The sequence below is a fragment of the Homo sapiens genome, chromosome 15, assembly GCF_000001405.40.
Source record: "Homo sapiens chromosome 15, GRCh38.p14 Primary Assembly".
NCBI classification, from domain to species: domain Eukaryota; kingdom Metazoa; phylum Chordata; class Mammalia; order Primates; family Hominidae; genus Homo; species Homo sapiens.
Genome location: NC_000015.10, coordinates 50,845,968 through 50,865,384, shown reverse-complemented (window position 1 = coordinate 50,865,384; position 19,417 = coordinate 50,845,968). Strand labels below are relative to the sequence as shown.

The window sequence follows — 19,417 nt, the reverse complement described above, 5'->3', positions numbered from 1 at the left end:
GTCAGATCATACACAGGAAAGAGCTTTAGAGACATAAACACCACACAAACATTAATTATAATTACCAAATGTAACTATCATATTTTACAAATGAGGAAACCAAGGCCCAGAAAAGCTGAATGATTTGGTTAAGGAGCTATTGTGGCTGAGTTAGATCTAGAATACAAATTTTCAAGGCCTCTTTTCTTTTCAGTATATCAATCAGTACTGGTTTTTGACATTTTATATATACTAAGGTCTCCATCCATGACTCATTTACATACAATTTATTACCCAGCCATAAAAAGTAATTAAAATTTAACTTTAAGTTTGTTGGAAGCTAGATTTAATTACTATGTATGTTTAGACGCATTACTGAACTTCCAATTGTAGCTGGGCTAGTCCCTGAAGGAAAAAGGTTTTTGTTTTTATTTTGCATGTCAGTGCTTGGTTAAAATGTCTGTTTTTATAAGAGAGTCACATGAGATACTCTAAACCCTAAATCTAATTACTGGGAAGAATCTAAAAAACAAATCCAAACCTTGTATGAAAGCCAAACCTTCATTGTACTTTCCAGTCTTCCGAAAATCACATTTTTCGTCTTCATCCTAGCATATATTTTAAGCCTTTAATTTTGCTATTCACATAAAAAGGACGAGTTGTAGCCTCAAAGATATTTTATTCTAATATGATTTTCATCCTAATAAATTTATCAATCATGTGTGAAAATAGCATTATACCTAAAGATACTTTTGTTTTAAATAAAGCTATTTTGAGTTTTTTCTTACAATTTGTGATGGATTAGGACTAAATAATGTCCAAAGTTTGCCTCTAACTCTAAGCTCCTATGAACTAAAATTCAGAATTATAGGAGGAAACTAGATCAATATTTATTTTTCCAGCTACAGTTGCATGGAGATTTGAGACTAGTTTCATTTTCACGGAAAAAAAATACACAAGGACATGTTCATCCTTGAGGCCTTATTAAGGAATGTTTTTCGAAGCTTTGTGAGGCAAGGCGCAGTGGCTCACGCCTGTAATCCCAGCACTTTGGGAGGCCGAGGCGGGTGGATCACCTGAGGTCAGGAGTTCAAGACCAGCCTGGGCAACATGGAGAAACCCTGTCTCTACTAAAAATACAAAAATTAGCTGGGAGTGGTGGCGTGCGCCTGTAATCCCAGCTACTTGGGAAGCTGAGGCAGGAAAATCGCTTGAACTCAGGAGGCAGAGGTTGCAGTGAGCCAAGATCGTGCCACTATCTAGCCTGGGTAAAAGAGCAGGACTCTGCTCAAAAAAAAAACAAAAAACAAAACAAAAAAAAAAAAAACAAAGCTTTGTGAGTGTGTGGTAGTTTAATTTTACAGTGTTCCACTATGGAGAACACATGGATTTTGTATCTGAAGATTTGGCTCATGTACTAGCTGATCTTAAGTCTCTCTAACTCTCAATTTTCTAATGTTTTAAATGGGGTTTTTTCAACCAGATGCCCAAACTTAATCTATAAGATTTATTTTTTAAAGGAAGGGGGAGGGCAGGGTATTGAAATAATCTAGAAAAGCTATTATTTTAAAGCTAGAATTTTTCAGTCTAGAGAAAGGTAAAAACTTGACTATTCATTGCATTCACCCTTTGTTCTGGAAAAAATACCCAACTGGGCCCTTTACAAAAAGTAAAACTTGTAGCTAATCTGGATCATGAAGAGCACTTTGAGAAAACATAACTGCAGATATTTCCAGCAGAGAAGCTAACTAGATATTCTGGTTAGTAAAGCAATTATTGTGAGTTTCTGAGCTTGTACTTCATCTCCGCCTGCTTTGTTGCTTTTGAATTTGAGGCAGTGTCTCTTTTCTTTCCATATGAATCTAAATGGATTGGGCAGCCTTCTTGCTTGTGCATGGGAAAATATGTATTCTTGCCTGAGAAGGTACTGTCCAGAAATCTGAAGCTGAGGCCCAGGAGATGGCAGGGTGTTCCTTACTTGACACAGAATGCCACATCACCAGCCCATACCTGAGCTGTGCTGTTTGCCTTATTTCTCCAAGAATATATGAGCTTCAGCCCCTTCCTCCATTTTCCAGAAGTGCCAAAACAAAAAGGTCAACAAAGCTAACAGCTGAAGCATCTCTATGCTAGCAATTTTCCCACGAAGTGGTTGAGATGAGATCTTGAACTATTTTAACGCAAACAAAATTCTTGTGTCCAAACTTCTAAATCACTTTAAACATTCTATTCAAAGTTTTTCAACCCAATGGTTTTTCTTTATTCTGACTAATTTTGTGAAAGGAGGGAATGGATATTTTATCATAAGAGAGTGACTAGGCATTCAAGAAGTGCTTGTGGAATGAGGAGGAATTATTGAGTCCTTCCAGAAGTGAGCGAAGGGAGAGGTGACACTGTGTAGCACAGATCTACTGACAAGAGCTCCTCAACAGGGTTTGATGATTCTGATAGTCATCTCCATTTGGGTTATGTTTAAGGGATGTTCTCCTGGAATCTGCCTGACACCTGTTTTTTTTTTCTTGTCTTAGTTCAGGCTACTATACCAGAATATCATAGACTGGATGGCTTAAACAGCAAACATTTATTTCTTGCAGTTCTGGAGGCTAGGAAGTCTAAGATCAAAGTGCTGGAAGATATGATGTCTGGTGAGGGCCTGCTTCCTGGTTCATAGATGGTCATCTTCTCACTGTGTCCTTACTTGGCATAAAGAGGGCTAGAGAATTCTCTGAAGTCTCTTTTATAAGGGCACTAATCCCATTCCTGAAGGCTTCACCCTCATGACCTAATCACCTCCAAAGGTCTCACTTCTTAATACCATCATATTGGGGTTTAGGATTTCACCATATGAATTTGCAAGGCACACAGACATTCAGTCCATACATTTCTAGTCCCTTTCTCCTGAGGTCAGTATGTATTAAAGGAGCAGAATCTTACTCCTTTCCCCTTGGAAGGTATGCTTCAGTGGAAAGGCGAAGATCGCAGTATTTTAGACATCTCCAGATATTGTGTCCATAAGAGGGAAGGCTGTCGGCATGGGCAATTTAAATTAATTTGTCTTTTCTTTTTATGGACTTGCTATGTCTACAAAAAGCAAACTTATCAAGTTAAATTAAATATATGCCTTCATTTAACAAATATGTATTGAGGGCCTATCTTAGACACTATTCCAGGCGCTCAGATACAGTAATGAATAAGACAAAGTCTCTGCCTTCCCAGAGTTTGTGTTCCAGCGGGGATAGGGAGACAATAACAAATAGGTAGATACACAGTAAGCCAGGTGGTAAATGCAACAAGAGAAAAATACAGCAAGTTAAGGAGGATACGGAGTGTCATTATATTTGTGGGAAGGGGTGTAACATATTGATTTCTGTTTCAGATATCCATTGCCACACAACAAAACACCCTAAATCCTATTGGTTAAAAAATATTAGCTTGGTGTGGTGGCATGCACCTATAGTCTCAGCTAGTCAGAAGGCTGAGGCAGGAAGATTGCTTGAGCCCAGGACTTTGAGTTTACAGTGAGCTATGACTGTGCCACTGCACTCCAGCCTGCGTGACAGAGTGAGACCCTGTCTCTAAAATTAAAAAAAAAAAAAAAAAAACTTTAAGAAAAAAATGTATGATCTTGTAGGTTCCCTGGGGTCTTTAAACAGTTGCGGTCATATGGCAAATCGGGCCAGGGTTATCTGAATAATTGAATGGGCCGGACATTCCAAACGGCTTTTTCATTCACATGGCTGGCCCCTCAGCTGGGAAGGCTGGAACAACTGGGGTCTGGCCAGGCATCACTCTGTCTGCACATGACCTTTCTATGTGGCTATCTTGGGCTTTCTCACAACATGGTGGGATTGAGTAGTCAGGCTTCTCCCATGCCGGTGGCTTCTCCTGAAGCAAATATTCCAAAAACTCCAGGTGAAAACTGCAAGGCTTCTTATGATGTAGCCTTGGAAGTCAGGCAAGCATCACCTCCACTACATTCTATTGGTCAAAACAAGTCACAGGGCTCACTAGATTCAAGGAGAGAGGACTCTATGAGGCTGAGAATATTGGAAGATGTGGCTCATTAAGGGGCCATTTTTGGACACTAGCTACCACAGTTATTAAAGGGATGGCCTCACTGATAAAGTGACATTTGAGCGGAGATAGAAGGGAAGCCAGGGAGAAGCCATGTGGGTATCTAGAAGAGATCTCCTAGCAGGGTGAACAGCAAACACAATGTCCTGAGGCAGAAGTAGTCGTAATATGTTTCTGAAAACAAGGAGACCAGTGTGGACAGAGTGAGATTAGTGGAGAGAAGGAGAAGTCATTCAGATAGGGAAGGAGGGGTTAGATGATATATAGCCTTATAAGCTTTTTAAGGACTTGAAATTTTATTTGGAGTGATACGAGAAGCCAATCCGTGATATTGAGCAGAAGGATGATACGACCTGACTTCTATCTTTGTTTTTTAGGCTAGTCATGTGAAGCCGTGGGAGTGGGGAAGGCTGACTTCTGTCTTAAAGGCTTACTCTGGATCATAATGTTGAGTGAAGGCTGTCAGGAGACAAAGAGGTAGGAAACAAGTTATTGCCATCATCCAGGCCAACAGACAATGAAGCTTGGAGCAGGGTAGTAACAGCAATAGAAAATATATTCTAATATATTTTAAAGTTAGAGTCCTCAAGATTTTCTGATGTTCTATGACAGAAAGAGAATTAAAGATGGCACCAAGGTTTTTTTGCCAGGGCAATTAGAATAATGGAGTTGCCATTTATTAAGCTGGGGAAGACCACATGAGCTACATTTAGCGGGGAGTTGGTCTTCAGGAATTTGGTTTTGTATGTGTTAAGTTTCAGATGCCTATTAGATGTCCAAGTCGAAATGAAAATAAATACAAAGTTTATCAGGTCATGTTCATGCTCTGATTTTATATAATTGCATGTATTAATAAAAATTGTTGCACTTAACATAAGAAAATAAAATATTTGGGTAGCACACAGCATTCTAAGAAACCTGGAAACCCATACTGATGGTCTCCAGTGAACTCTAAGCTCTCATTTTGACATAAATGAATAGGCAGTAGTGTCGTGAAAAGAACATAGGCTTTGAACTCAGGCAGACTTGGGTCCGGATGCAGACTCTACCCTTTATTAGCAGTGAGGCTTCTGCATATTACATAATCTAAGCCTCAGTTTTCTCATTTATAAAATGAGAATAATGACACCTTGGAATACAGTTGTTAGAATTAGGTGAGTGAATGCATGTAAGGCACCTGGCACACAACAGATACTTGGTAAATGGTAGCCATTATGAATGTGCCCACTGTTTTTTTTCCTAAGTTCTTGCATGGCCTCTTCTTCTGGCAGACATCAGGGGAGGTGGCAGAAAGCAGGGCAAGACTCAGTGGGGGACAGTCCTACTGAGGTGCTGAACTGTGTGGTCCCACCTTACCCCTGGACATGCACCTGCAAACTTTGGGCAGGTCTCTGGGTGACGGCTCGATAGAATAACAGCAGTGATAAGCAACAGCAGTCTGTACAGCTAGCATCCTCCCAGACTGTCCCAGTGAGACATGTGAACTGTAGTTCAGCAGAAGTGTGGGCAGGGGACACATGCTCAGGACCCTGGGTTAAACAGGATTGCATTTACTTACTGACGTTTCAAGCAATAGAGGCACAGCAACACGAGGTAGAGGGACACTGCTGCCAGGGAACATGCCTAGGACAGTGCTATCTTATTGTTTTAACCTTCAATAAATATGCTGCCCTTGAGGTAAATGACAACTAGAGTAGGAGCATGTAGCCAATGCTGGGTGCCATCTTCCAAGGTCTAAACTGATGTAAGTCCTGTGGGAATTGGGGTAATAGGAGTACATAGAAATTTTTAAGAAAACAGTTAAGTAAGGTGACCCACTGAGAGTAAAAGGGGGAAACAGGTATGATGAGCCATCTAGGGGCGTGTGCAATGTGATAGAACAGCCAAGCAGTGTGGCCGGGCGTAGTGGCTCACGCCTGTAATCCCAGCACTTTGGGAGGCCGAGGCAGGTGGATCACCTGAGGTCAGAAGTTGGAGACCAGCCTGACCAACATGGCAAAACCCCATCTTTACTAAAAATAGAAATATTAGCCAGGCATGGTGGCGAGTGCCTGTAAAGTCCCAGCTACTTGGGAGGCTGAGACAGGAGAATTACTTGAACCCGGGAGGAGGAGGTAGCAGTGAGCCAAGAGAGATCATGCCAGGGCACTCCAGCCTGGGCAACAGAGCGAGACTCTGCCTCAAAAAAAAAAAAAAAAAAGAACAGCCAGGCAGCATGGAGGGCCACAAGATGCCCATAATCATGAATGATCGTGAATTTAAAGTGTGTCTGCTCAGCATGGTTGCATGTTTTCCCCCAACACTTTTAAGCACAAACTAGGCAGAGAGTTGGTTTTAACCATACCTAGGATATTGCCAGGCACATACTGTACTCTGAAAGGAGAGAGAGGCAAATAAGTTGGTGTATGCAAGGACTGCAAATGGAAGCTGGCTAAGGAGGGGCATTCAGGACACAATGGCCATGAGGGGTAGTGGAAGGTGTCAGGGTCAATGGACTCTAGGTCCCCATGGAATTCAGGAATGCTTTGAGCAAATCTTGGCATTACACTTCTTTTTTTTTTTTTTTTTCTTTTTTTGATAGAGTCTCACTCTGTTGCCAAGCTGGAGTGCAGTGATGTGATCTCGGCTCACTGCAACCTCTGCCTCCCGGGTTCAAGTGATTCTCCTGCCTCAGCCTCCCAAGTAGCTGGGACTACAGATGCATACCACCATGCCCAGCTAATTTTTGTATTTTTAGTAGAGACAGAGTTTCACCATGTTGACCAGGATGGTCTTATCTCTTGAACTCGTGGTCCGCCTGCCTTGGCCTCCCAAAGTGCTGGGATTACAATTCTTTTTTTAAAAGGTGCTTAAGAATGGGACATTTCCTTGCCATCTTCCCACATCACCTTCTTTATTCTCACTTTTTTTATTCACCTTTGCACAGTTTAAATAGTAAGCTTATGAGGTAGAGTGTTGCTAGCTTCTTTGCTTCTATTGAGGTTTGGGGGGCAGGGGACAGGACATCGCTCAGAGTGCAAACTCATAATTCTCGCAAATAGTTAAATGGTGTTATTTGGAAGTCCTTTAGTATTATCCAGATTTGGCTTAGAAATAGGATTATGCTGCTGAACTTTATTTTTCTTCTTAATGTACAAAGAGCTCTCTTAACTCAGACATTCCGGTGCTTTGTTGGAATTTTCTATGTAATGCAGCCTATTACAGAGTAATTTTGAGGGGAGTTGTAACTTGACCTCTAACTTGGGGCAGGATCCTAATAAAATAGAAGTCTCCTGACCAGAGCTTCTTGCTCAGGTTCCTAACAGGAATGTCTTCTCTCCAGAATGGCTGCAGGAGATCAAATGACAGAGGCAGTTTTATCAGTTTGTTGTGCTGGTCTTTCACCTGCCTGAAAACTATCTTTAAATGATTGCTTTCCAAGTGCAATGACACAGCAGTCTGTTTTCTAGAGACCTGAAGTTCAAATAAGCTTCTTGTTTGCCCTGGTGATTCTGGAGGTGATTTAAGGTAGAAAGAGCAGTTCTCAAAGACACAGAAAGAGCCAAAAATAATATAATTTGTAAGATTTTGAAACTCAAAAAAGTGAAAATGACCCACTAAGTCCACCATCCCTGCCTTGAATAGTCTCCATGTTCATCTTCCCACTTCTACACAGGATTGCAGAGAAGCTGTTCTAAAAGAGAGCTTTCTGCCCATTTAGAAATTAGGTCCAAAACTCTGTCAATGTCTCAAGAATTTTCTAAAGTTATATTTATCTTTATGCAGATTTACTCCTCCACACTTGTACTCATTCTTTCATTGGCTACAGAGGGATATTCCCAGTTTGGAAAGTAATTCATTTCTTGTTGCTACGACAAACAAACCTAATGGTTAAATTATTTTCTTACCACAAGAAAAATTAATCATGATAAACTAGAGCATAAGTCTGGATTTTTTGGTTTTTTGAACCTATGGAAAACATAGCCTTGTGAAAGGTGACTTGAATTCTCCCGGAGTTCAACTCCTTCATCTTCCTGGCATTGTGGAATAGTGGAAAGAGAAAGAGAGCTGAAGTCAGAAGCCTCAAATCCCAACTCTGCTTTTATAAGCTGCATCATCACAGTTTATATTATTCTTAATTTATAGCTCCAGTCTCTTCATCTGCAAAATGTTAAGAAGCATGCCTATATTTGTTACCAGATAATCAGGTAACATATGAAAACTACTTTGTAAACAGTAAAACATTGTAAAAAGTGTCTTTATTTGTAGAGTTCACTCCAAGATGCCTCATGTTAACTTGTTTGGGGTCCTCCCTGAGCCCCTCTCCATCTTCCCTCTGCTCTTTCTTTCCCCAGCTTCCTCTCTCATTTCCCTAGTGTTCAGCTTTCCTTCATGGAATGTTATTGTAGCAGAGTTCCCAGAAATGACACAAAAACTAAAAACACAGTCAAAGAAGAAAGTAATAACAGTGTACAGAGACCTTCCTTCGGCAAAACACATTTCTTAGAGGGTGCTATAAGACTGGGCAAAGGGGGAGCAAGAGGAAAAAGCAGATTGGAGAAGCCAGTGACAGGAAAGCAGGAGATGGGGAGAAGGAAGAGTAAAGGAGCCAGGAAAGAGTCAACTAGAAAGGGAGAGAACGCACATCACTCCCAAGTTTCTGAGCCCGGTCGGGAAAGGAGGATAGAGGGCTGCATAATGCCAATAAATCATAAAAGTACATAAAAGGGAGTTTGTACAGAAAAGAGCAAAGTAAGCACAACAGAACAAAATTCTTTTCCAGGAGCGGGTATCAGGTAGCATTGCATGTAGGCACTGTGATAAACTAAAGTTATTGTGCAGTATAAACTGACAGGAAGAGTTTAATAAGAGTATGTGATTCCTACAGCCAATTACTAGAAAGAAAATGTAATCACTGTTATATTTGTATTGCAGGTAAAATTATACTATGACCAATAAAATAGAGAAAAGATAGGCCGGGCACGGTGGCTCACGCCTGTAATCCCAGCACTTTGGGAGGCTGAGGCGGGTGGATCACAAGGTCAGGAGATCAAGACCATCCTGGCTAACACAGTGAAACCCTGTCTCTACTAAAAATACAAAACATTAGCCAAGCGTGGTGGTGGGTGCCTGTAGTCCCAGCTACTCGGGAGGCTGAGGCAGGAGAATGGTGTGAACCCAGGAGGCGGAGCTTGCAGTGAGCTGAGATTGTGCCACTGCACTCTAGCCTGGGTGGCAGAGCAAGACTCTGTCTCAAAAAAAAAAAAAAAAAAAAAAAAAATATATATATATATATATATGTATATATGTGTATATATATATATATGTATATATATATATGTATATATATATGTATATATATATATGTATATATATATATATATAGAGAGAGAGAGAGAGAGAGAGAGAAAAGATTTGCTTAAAATGCAAATGCTCTGTGCACATGAGGGAACATGTGTAGGAAATTAATTTAGAGCAACACACATTCCCATCTACAAGCTTCCCGCCTCCGTGAAATAAAGGGGCACTCTGCAAAAGCTCAGAAGTGTGTTTTTGGTAGATACCAGGTGTGGAAATTGAAAGGATGAAGGGGCTGGAGGAGGAATCACCACCAAGACTTGGGCTGGGATTCACAGAAGGAAGAGTGGCCTACACGGAACAGCAATCCTGTTAAGGACGAGACTCTTTAGTGGAATTTCTTGAGTAGGGTAATTGCTAATACCTAGTCTACTTTGTAATTAAAGAGAGCCACATAAGCCCACTTGCAGACCTAGGCTCCTGTGTAAAGATTACCAACCAATCCTCAATCTTCTGACACACACATATAAGATGTCTTTCTTTGAGCCTGGATAAGGGCAGAGCAGACCATATTACATCCTGGACTTTTACTCTCACAAGACTGTTTCAGAATCTAGCATTGGGGTAGAAACCAGGATAGTGAGCTAAAGTTGGGAGCTAAATATTCTACATCTTCAAGCTCCTCAGATAAAACCATAGAGGAGGTAAACTATTTCTGTTTTCATATTCCAAAAGTATTCCATGACTCATCCCTTTCTTTTTTCTTGAGTGTTCCTTCTCTTTCATATCACATCCATCTCATCTCAGGCGAACCTAATCTCTGTTACCCCACTGTGAGCACCAGGAAAGGTCTTTCCATGTAGTGTTGTCTTGAGATACACCAAGTTGATTTCACTTCTGCTTTGGCTGCTCTGAAATCAACCACTTTATGCAAAATTGAATGTAGGTGACTTATCTAAAGGTTAGGCAAGGTGCTAGTGAAGAGAGGCCCTCTTCTGTTAGCTGGGGAAGACTGGACTTTCTCTACCAAATAGTTCAGGTAAAACCCTTGCTGTCAGGCCTCTAGGCAGCTTTCACAGCCGTCAGTTCTCTGCTTGTGCTCAATGGCCAACAGAAAGAAAAAACAAACAAAAATTCCAGGCCATCCCATGGGCCTCAAAACTAGGACTTGATGACTTCTGAGGTCTGACCTCACTTGCAGGTTCAGAATCCTAAGGCGGTAGCCTCTACCTTCATGTTCATCTGAACAAGTTAAGCAACATTTATGTTGCCAGTCTCTGAAGTCATTGTGTAAGGGAAAGCACGCAGAGAGAATGAAAACCTTTTGCCCTGAGGGAAAAACTCTTCAACTTCCACTTTGAACACAACCAATGAGACTGAGCAAGAAAACATCTTTCATAACTACTTGCTGAGTGTTAAAACAGAAGTCAGGGATAGATTCTTTGTCTACATCAGGACTGTTCTTGTTTTAAAACAAGAAAGCAGGCCGGGCACGGTGGCTTATGCCTGTAATCCCAGCACTTTGGGAGGCTGAGGCGGGTGGGTCACCTGAGGTCAGGAGTTCCAGACCAGCCTGGCCAACATGGTAAAACCCCGACTCTACTAAAAATACAAAAAAATTAGCTGGGCGTGGTGGCACCCGCCTGTAGTCCCAGCTACTCGGGAGGCTGAGGCACGAGAATCGCTTGAACCTGGGAGGCAGAAGTTGCAGTGAGCCAAGATGGCACTATAGCGCTATAGCCTGGGCTACACAGTGAGACTCCATCTGAAAAAAAAAAAAAAAAAAAGAAAGCAAATGTAGGAGAGCCAGTCGTGCACTTATAAACACTCAACTTTGGAAAAACTGGTACACAGTGCCTTTTATGTTATAGGGCAAAAGGGGTTTATCTATCTGCTTGTGTGGGAAAATTCCAAATACGTTTTATGCACTTATCAATTACAAAATACAATACCCTAAAAACAGTCCATCATATTTCTCTTTTTGTCTTGGTTTTCCAAATAGGCAGTGAGGTTGCTGGGCATGGTGGTGCATGTCTGTAGCCCCAGCTACTTGGGAGGATGAGGTGGGAGGATCACTTGAGCCCAGGAGTTCAAATCCAGCCTGAGCAATATAGCTAGACCCCTAAAAAATGGGGGGGAAAATCCCACATATTATTAAATTGTTTACCTACAAAAATTGTGAAAATTCTTTGGTTAAAACTGTAACCAAGAAAACCAGATTTTGATGAGATTTTAAAAAAATAAGTAGCTAGGTTTTATTCTCACTTTTAGTAGCTGCCCATAGTGTAAATGTACTCCTAACATTATATCCATGCTTCATTACTTGACTCTTGTCTTTTTGCTCTTGATTTTTTTAGGTTTGTAATTTAAAGTTCCTGTTTCTCTTATTGTATCTATCCCTCATCTAATTTGGAAAAATAAAGAGCATACAGAAGAAATGCATTATTTTATTATTATTTTATTTATTTATTTATTTATTTATTTAGATGGAGTCTTGCTCTGTCGCCCAGGCTGGAGTGCAATGGTGCAATCTTGGCTCACTGCAACCTCCGCCTCCCGGGTTCAAGTGATTCTCCTGCCTCAGCCTCCCAAGTAGCTGGGATTACAGGCACATGCCACCACGCCCAGCTAATTTTTTGTGTTTTTAGTAGAGATGGAGTTTCACTATGTTGCCCAGGCTGGTCTTGAACTCCTGACCTCAGGTGATACACCCACCTCTGTCTCCCAAAGTGCTGGGATTACAGGCACCAGCCACCACGCCCAGCCTATTTTATTGTTTTATTTTATCTTATTTTTTTGAGATGTAGTCTTGTTGTTGCCCAGGCTGGACTGCAGTGGCATGATCTCAGCTCACTGCAATCTCTGCCTCCCAGATTTAAGCGTTTCTTCTTCTTCAGCCCTGCAAGTAGCTGGGATTACAGGTGCATGCCACCATACCCAGCTAATTTTTGTACTCAGCCTAAATGCGTTATTTAAAAATAACAATAATGAGGGCCAGGCATGGTGGCTCATGCCTGTAATCCCAGCACTTTGGGAGGCCGAGGCAGGTGGATCACCTGAGGTCAGGAGTTCGAGACCAACTTGACCAATATGGAGAAACCCCATCTCTACTAAAAATACAAAATTAGCTGGGCATGGTGGCACATGCCTGTAATCCCAGCTACTCGGGAGGCTGAGGCAGGAGAATTGCTTGAACCCAGGAGGCAGAGGTTGTGGTGAGCCGAGATTGCGCCATTGCACTCCAATAACAGTAATGGTTATGATTTCCAATCAATGAAAAGACTTTTTCTCTTTGCTATGAAGTTAATCTTTGTGTGTCCCCCGCCCCATACCTCAGATTTATATGTTGAAGCCTAATCCCCAATGTAATGGTATCTAATCCCCCTCCCAGAGAGGCCTCTGGGAGATAATTAGGTCGTGAGGGGGGAGCCCTCATTAATGCAATTAGTACCTTATAAGAAGAAACTCTATAGAGCTTGCTTCCTTTGTCTCTCTTTGTTTTCCGCCATGTGAGGATAAAATGAGAAGATAGCAATCTGCAAACCAAGAAGCAGACCCTCATCAGACACTGGCACCTTGATTTTGGACTTCCCAGCCTCCAGAACTGTGAGAAATAAACATTTGTTTTTTAAGCCACCTAGTCTATGGTATATTTGTTACAGTAGCCCAAACTAAGACACCCCTATTCCAAACATATACAAACAATAGAAAATATAACAACAAAATAGAAAAATATAACAACAAAATAGAAAATATAACAACAAAAAATTAAATACATGGATGAATTCAAAAACAAGAAAGGTAAATCTCTAGATGCCAAAAGTGAAGCAGAAACTAAAAGCCATAAAAAGATGTTAAGTGAATGAGTGGCAAGGCAGCCAAACCGTGCCTTTGCATGAATCAAAAATAGACCTACTCCCTGAACAAATTCACTCTCATGGTTTCAGGAATTGGTGAGTTCAATTTGGAGTTCAAGCTTGATATTACCCCCATGCACCACCTTGCCCAGGTTTCTTTATGTAGGATATAACCTGCTTACCTGTAACCAGCATTCCTGATAAACGGGGGCAGAAGCTACGTCACTCAGACGGGTTTTGAAATTGGAAGTAGGCCTTTGGTGCTGAATGAGAAAGTTTAAATGCATATATGCAGAAAGGATACTAAATTTTAAGTCCACAAAAGACAGAGAACTGATTGTACACCCATGCTTATAGCAGCATTATTTGTAAAGCCAAAAGGTGGAAGTAGCTTAAATGTCCATAAATGAAGGCACAGATAAATAAAATGTGATGTATACATACAATGGAATGTTTTTCAGTCATAAAAAGGAAGGAAATTCTGACATATGCTACAACATGGATGAACCTTGAGGATATTATGCTAAATGAAATAAGCCAGTCACACACAAAAAAACACTGTATGATTCCATGATTCCACTGCTATGAGGTATTTACAGTAGTCAGATTCTTTGAGACAGAAAGTAGAATGGTGAATGCCAATGGAGGAGGGAGAAATGAGGAGTTATTGTTTAATGAGGATGGGATTTCAGGTTGGGAAGATGAAAACTTTGGAAATAGATGGTGGTGATGGTAGCGCAACAATGTGAATATACTTAATGCCACTGAACTTTACATTGAAAAAAAGGTGAAGATGGCAAATTTTATGTATTTTGCCACAGGTTTTTTTTTTTTTTTTTTTTTTGAGACGGAGTTTTGCTCTGTCTCTTAGGCTGGAGTGTAGTGGCGCAATCTCGGCTCACTGCAACCTCTGCCTCCCCGGTTCAAGCAATTCTCCTGCCTCAGCCTCCAGAGTAGCTAGGACTACAGGCGTGTGCTACCACGCCCGGCTGATTGTTTGTATTTTTAGTAGAGACGGGATTGCACCATATTGGCCAGGCTCGTCTCGAACTCCTGATCTTGTGATCTGCCTGCCTTGACCTCCCAAAGTGCTGGATTTACAGGCGTGAGCCACTGCTCCCGGCTGCCACAATTTTTAAAAATTAAAAAAGTCATAAATAAATAATTTTTAATGAAACCATAATTTTTGTAAAAGATAAGGAGCTGGAACCAAAGTCCGTATATAATGCCAGGAGCCACAAAGGGTGCTCTTGAAGTAAACCAGGAAGTAAACTGTGGTCCTTAGCAAGGGAAGTAGCAAGGAATCCTGCTGAAAGCCTAGGGCCATGAATCAAATGAATCCAAAAAAATCAGAAACACAGACCTGTGTCACTCATGGACAAAAGATCTGAATTCACGGTGTAGGGACTCTAAGTAGAAAAACGCACATGAAAAGAGATCCAAATACAGTGTTTCTTGTAGGGCCAGAGACAGGGAAACATAAAACTTCCTAACTGAGACCCCTCTCAACCCAGGGCACAAGGGACTCCCATATAAAACAACCAGCTAAAGATGAACTCACAGCCAAAACTTACAAATCACATGGAGAAACACCTCGCTAGGATGGAGAAAAAGTACATCGCATGTCTTCCATTTGCTCCTGTAGACCCACTCTCCACTATGCTACATCTGTCTTCTATTGCTGGAGGCAGACCTACATGGACTACATCAGTGAGTTCTCATGTCTTCTGGCCTCTTGTTAGATTCAGCCAATGGGAAACCCTAGCAGAATATTGGAAAGTGGGATCAGTTTTATTCCCCAGTTGACTCTCTCTCAGCTGTTGGCTGTGTCTCTCAACAGAAGGTCATTGCACCTCTCAAGGTGATCTTTCCTTCATGAGTTTCTTTCAAATTCTAGACACTTCTCCCTATCCTCATCTCTTCAGGCCAAGGAGTAGTAATGGCTCCACTGCAACCATTTCCAGGTTATTGCACTATCCTTTGTGGCCACACTACATCCTGCTCACAGCTCTGTAAATGGTCCCTTTGTAAATAAACCACCTTGGAATTATACAAATTTTAGTATATCATCTATTTCCTGTTAGGAATCTGATGAAATAATCATAAACAGGCAATGGGGGAATTTGAAATTTAAGAACTAGAAATTTTAAAAATAAACAGAAAGCGACTTTAAAAAGAGTAGATTCAAACCCATAAAAAATAATAAAAATTTTAAAAATAAAAAAAGTAAATAAATAAATTTTTGTTTTTTGAGATGGCATTTCGCTCTTGTTCCCCAGGCTGGAGTGCAATGGTGCAATCTCAGCTCACTGCAGACTCCACCTCCTGGGTTTAAGCAATTCTCCTGCCTCAGCCTCCCAAGTAGATGGGATTACAGCCATGCACCACCACACCCAGCTAATTTTGTATTTTTAGTAGAGACAGAGTTTCACCATGTTGGTCAGGCTGGTCTCGAACTCCTGACCTCAGGTGATCCACCCGCCTCGTCATCCCAAAGTGCTGGGATTACAGGTGTGAGCCACCGCACCCAGCCAAAAATGTTTAAATAAAATAAAAACAAGAATAGAGGCCAGGTGTGGTGGCTCACACCTGTAATCTCAGCACTTTGGGAGGTGGAAGGGGGCAGACCACTTGAGCCCAGGAGTTCTGGACTAGCCTGGAAAACAAGACAAAAACCCCATCTCTGCAAAAAAACAAAAAACAAAAAAAGTTAGCTGGGTGTGGTGATACACACCTGTAGTCCCAGCCACGTGGAAGGCTGAGGTCACTTGAGCCCCGGAAGTCGAGGCTGCAGTGAGCCATGATCGTGCCACTGCACTCCAGCCTGGACAACAGTGAGACCTTGTCTCAAAAAAAAAAAAAAAAAAAAAAAGATTGAAAATATAAAAGAAAAATAAAAAACTACAATGAGCAGAGTTGTCATGTATTTAATAGGAGCTTATTAAAATAGGAGAAAGCAAAAAGAATGGGAGAGTGAGATAATATTTGAAGAGATAATAGCCAAGAATTTTCAGGAATTAAAGAGAGATAAATCCTCACACTGAAGAAATATGCTGGAGCCAGCTTATGAGAGCTGCTTATTAAATATTCAGAAAATGTGCAAGCCAAGTGTTAACCATTATTAAAATTAAATTGCATAAACTTATGATTAAATAATTATATTAAAAACAGAAGTAATAAATATTTAAAGCTTGTAAATTCCTAATTATTTTACTACATTTTACTATTATCAATGCTCTTGAAGTTATTTATGTCTCTCATGTTTGCATGGCTAAAATGAAATGGTATGCTACTCTGCATCCCTTCTCAAATCCTTACTTAAAGATGTTACATTGGTAGCTTGAAATAGGTTATTGAGGGAATGTTTATGTCACAGAAATTGGCAGACTGCTACAAATCAGCCCCCACTCCCATGTTTACCAGCACACCACTGTCCAAGCATTATACTGTTTACACAACAATAAAAAATACTTCTACACACTCCATGGTGAAACTGAAAAATGTTAAGAAAAAAAAAAATCTGAAGAAACTACCAGAGATTCAGGATAACCTTTGTACCCAAAACAAAAACAAGCAAAAAACCTCCCAGAGAAATCAATGAAATTGAAAACAGGAAATAACAGAGAAAATCAATAAAGCAAAAACCTGGTTCCTTGAAAAGATCAATAAAATCAATAAGCCTCTGGCCCTGCTAACTAAGAAAAAAAATTACTGATACCAGAAATGAAAGAGTAGATATTACTGCAGATCCCATGGACATTAAGAGAATAATATAAGAATACTGTGAATAACTCTATGTCCACATATATGATAGCCTAGAAGTAATGGAGCAATTCCTTCAAAGAAACAATCTGCCAAAACTTACACAAGAAGAAATAGACCTATATCTATTTTAAAAATTGACAATAATTAATAACCTTGCAAATCAGAAAACACCAGGCTCAGATGTGTTCACCATTCTACCAAACATTTAAGGAAGAAAGTACATCAGTTTTCTATAATCTTCTCCGAAAGATAGAAGCACAGAGAATACCTTCTAACTCATTCTATGAGGCCAGCATTGCCCTAACACCAAAATCGGAAAAAGACATAACAAGAAAAGACATATCAGACCAATATCATGAATGTAGCTGCAAAAATCCCCCCAAAAATATTAACAAATTGAATCCAATGATGTATAAAAAGAATTACACAATACAACTTAAGTGAAATTTATCCCAAGTATACAAGGCAGGTTCAATATATGAAACTATATTAATGAAATCCATATTGATAGACTAAAGAAAGTCACATGATCATATCAATGGATGCAGAAAAGGCATTTAAAAAAATCCAACACCCATTCATGATAAAAACTCTCAGCAGATGATGAATAGAGGGGGAATTTCCTCAATTTTATAAAGAAGGACTATAAAAAACCTACAGCTAAAATTGTACTCAAATGGTGAGAAACGAAGCTTTCCCACTAAGATCAGGAACAAGGCTAGGATATTTTATCTTACCACCGCTTTTTGACATCTGGAAGTCCTAGCTACTGCAATAAGATTTTTAAAAGAAAATAACCAGTATATAGGTTGTAAAGGAAGAAATAAACAGTCTTTGTTTACAGATGATGTGATAATCTATGTAGAAAATCCAAAAGATTCAACCAAAAAGCTCCTGAAACTAAAAAGCTAATTGTATCCTGCAATTAGCCAGATTGTAGGACACAGGTTAATATATGAAAGTCAATCACTTTCCTAGATACTGGCAATGAGCAAATGGAATTTGAAATTAAAAACACATTAACATTTACATTAGCATTATCCAAAAATGAAAGCTTAGGTATTATGATGGTGAATTTTTTTAATTTTATTTTTATTTTTTATTTTTGGACACAGAGTTTCACTCTTGTATATCAGGCTGGAGTGCAATGGCGTGATCTTGGCTCACTGCAACCTCCACCTCCTAGGTTCAAGCGATTCTCCTGCCTCAGCCTCCCAAGTACCTGGGATTACAGGTGCCTGCCACCACGCCCAGCTAATTTTTGTATTTTTAGTAGAGACGGAGTTTCACCACGTTGGTCAGGCTGGTCTTGAACTCTTGAACTCCTAGACATTATTTCTAGGTGTGTCTGTGAGAGTGTTTCTGGAGAAATTAGCATTTGAATTGGTGACCTGAATAAAGATGGCCTTTCCCCATATGGGTGGGCATCACCCAATCTGTTGAGGGACTGAATAGAACAAAAAGGTGAAGGAAAATTGAATTTGTTTTTTGCTTAACTGCTTGGGCTGGAACATCAATCTTCTGCTCACAGTGCTCCTGGTTCTCAGGCCTACAGATTCAAACTGGAATCTACACCATCAGCTATCCAGCTCTCAGGCCTTTGAACTACACCATCAGTTTTCTTGAGTTTCCAGCTTTAGATGGCAAATCATGGGAATTTTCAGCTTCCATAATCACATGAGCTAATACTTTCTAATAAATATCTACATGTATATGTTCTGACTAATACAGAAATTGGTACCAAGAAGTGAGGTGCTGCTGTAACAAATGCCTTAAAATGTGGAAGCATCTTTGGAACTAGGTGATGGGTAGAAGTTGGAAGAGTTTTGAGGTGCATGCTAGATAAAGCCAGTGATGCCATGAAGAAATTTTTGAAGATGATTCTGGTAAAGGCTCAGAAAGAAAAGATTTCTGGATAGAAAGCTTCCATCTTCTTAGAGAATATAAAAGTAATTACATACAGAAAGTTGGTAAATATATAGATAGTAAGACCACTCTGATGAGATCTCAGATGGAAATGAGGAACATGTTATTGGACAATGGAGAAGAGGCTATCTTTTTTTAATTTTATTTCAATAGTTTTGGGGGAACAGGTGTTCTTTTGTTACATGGATAAGTTGTTTAATGGTGATTTCTGAGATTTTAGTGCACCCATCACCCAAGCAGTATACACTGTACGCAATATGTAGTCTTTTATCCCTTACCCCCTGACCCATCCCTCCAAGTCCCCAAAGTCCATTCTATCATTCTTATACCTTTGTATCCTCATGGCTTAGCTCCCACTTATAAGCAAGAACATGTGATATTTGGTTTTCCATTTCTGAATTACTTCACTCAGAATAATGGCCTTCAGCTCCATCCAAGTTGCTGCAAAGGCCATTATTTCATTCCATTTTATGGCTAAGTAGTATTCCATGGTGTATATGTACCACATTTTCTTTATTCACTTGTTGGTTGATGGGCAT

At 40.2% G+C, this 19,417-nt stretch overlaps 1 long non-coding RNA gene across 1 annotated transcript, besides 1 other annotated feature; it reads left to right on the top strand.

Moving 5' to 3' along the window:
* Positions 1–1,262: 1,262 nt before the first annotated feature.
* On the top strand, positions 1,263–12,966 carry LOC124903490 (uncharacterized). The gene is made up of 2 exons (XR_007064630.1): positions 1,263–4,530; positions 12,845–12,966. It is a non-coding gene; the product is annotated as an uncharacterized LOC124903490 (long non-coding RNA).
* Positions 10,628–10,677: an enhancer, noted in NCBI's record as "active region_9398". NCBI's record gives its function as "activates an Ori minimal core promoter by ATAC-STARR-seq in GM12878 lymphoblastoid cells {active_cell/tissue: GM12878}" and the evidence as "EXISTENCE:reporter gene assay evidence [ECO:0000049][PMID:35858748]".
* Positions 12,967–19,417: the final 6,451 nt, after the last annotated feature.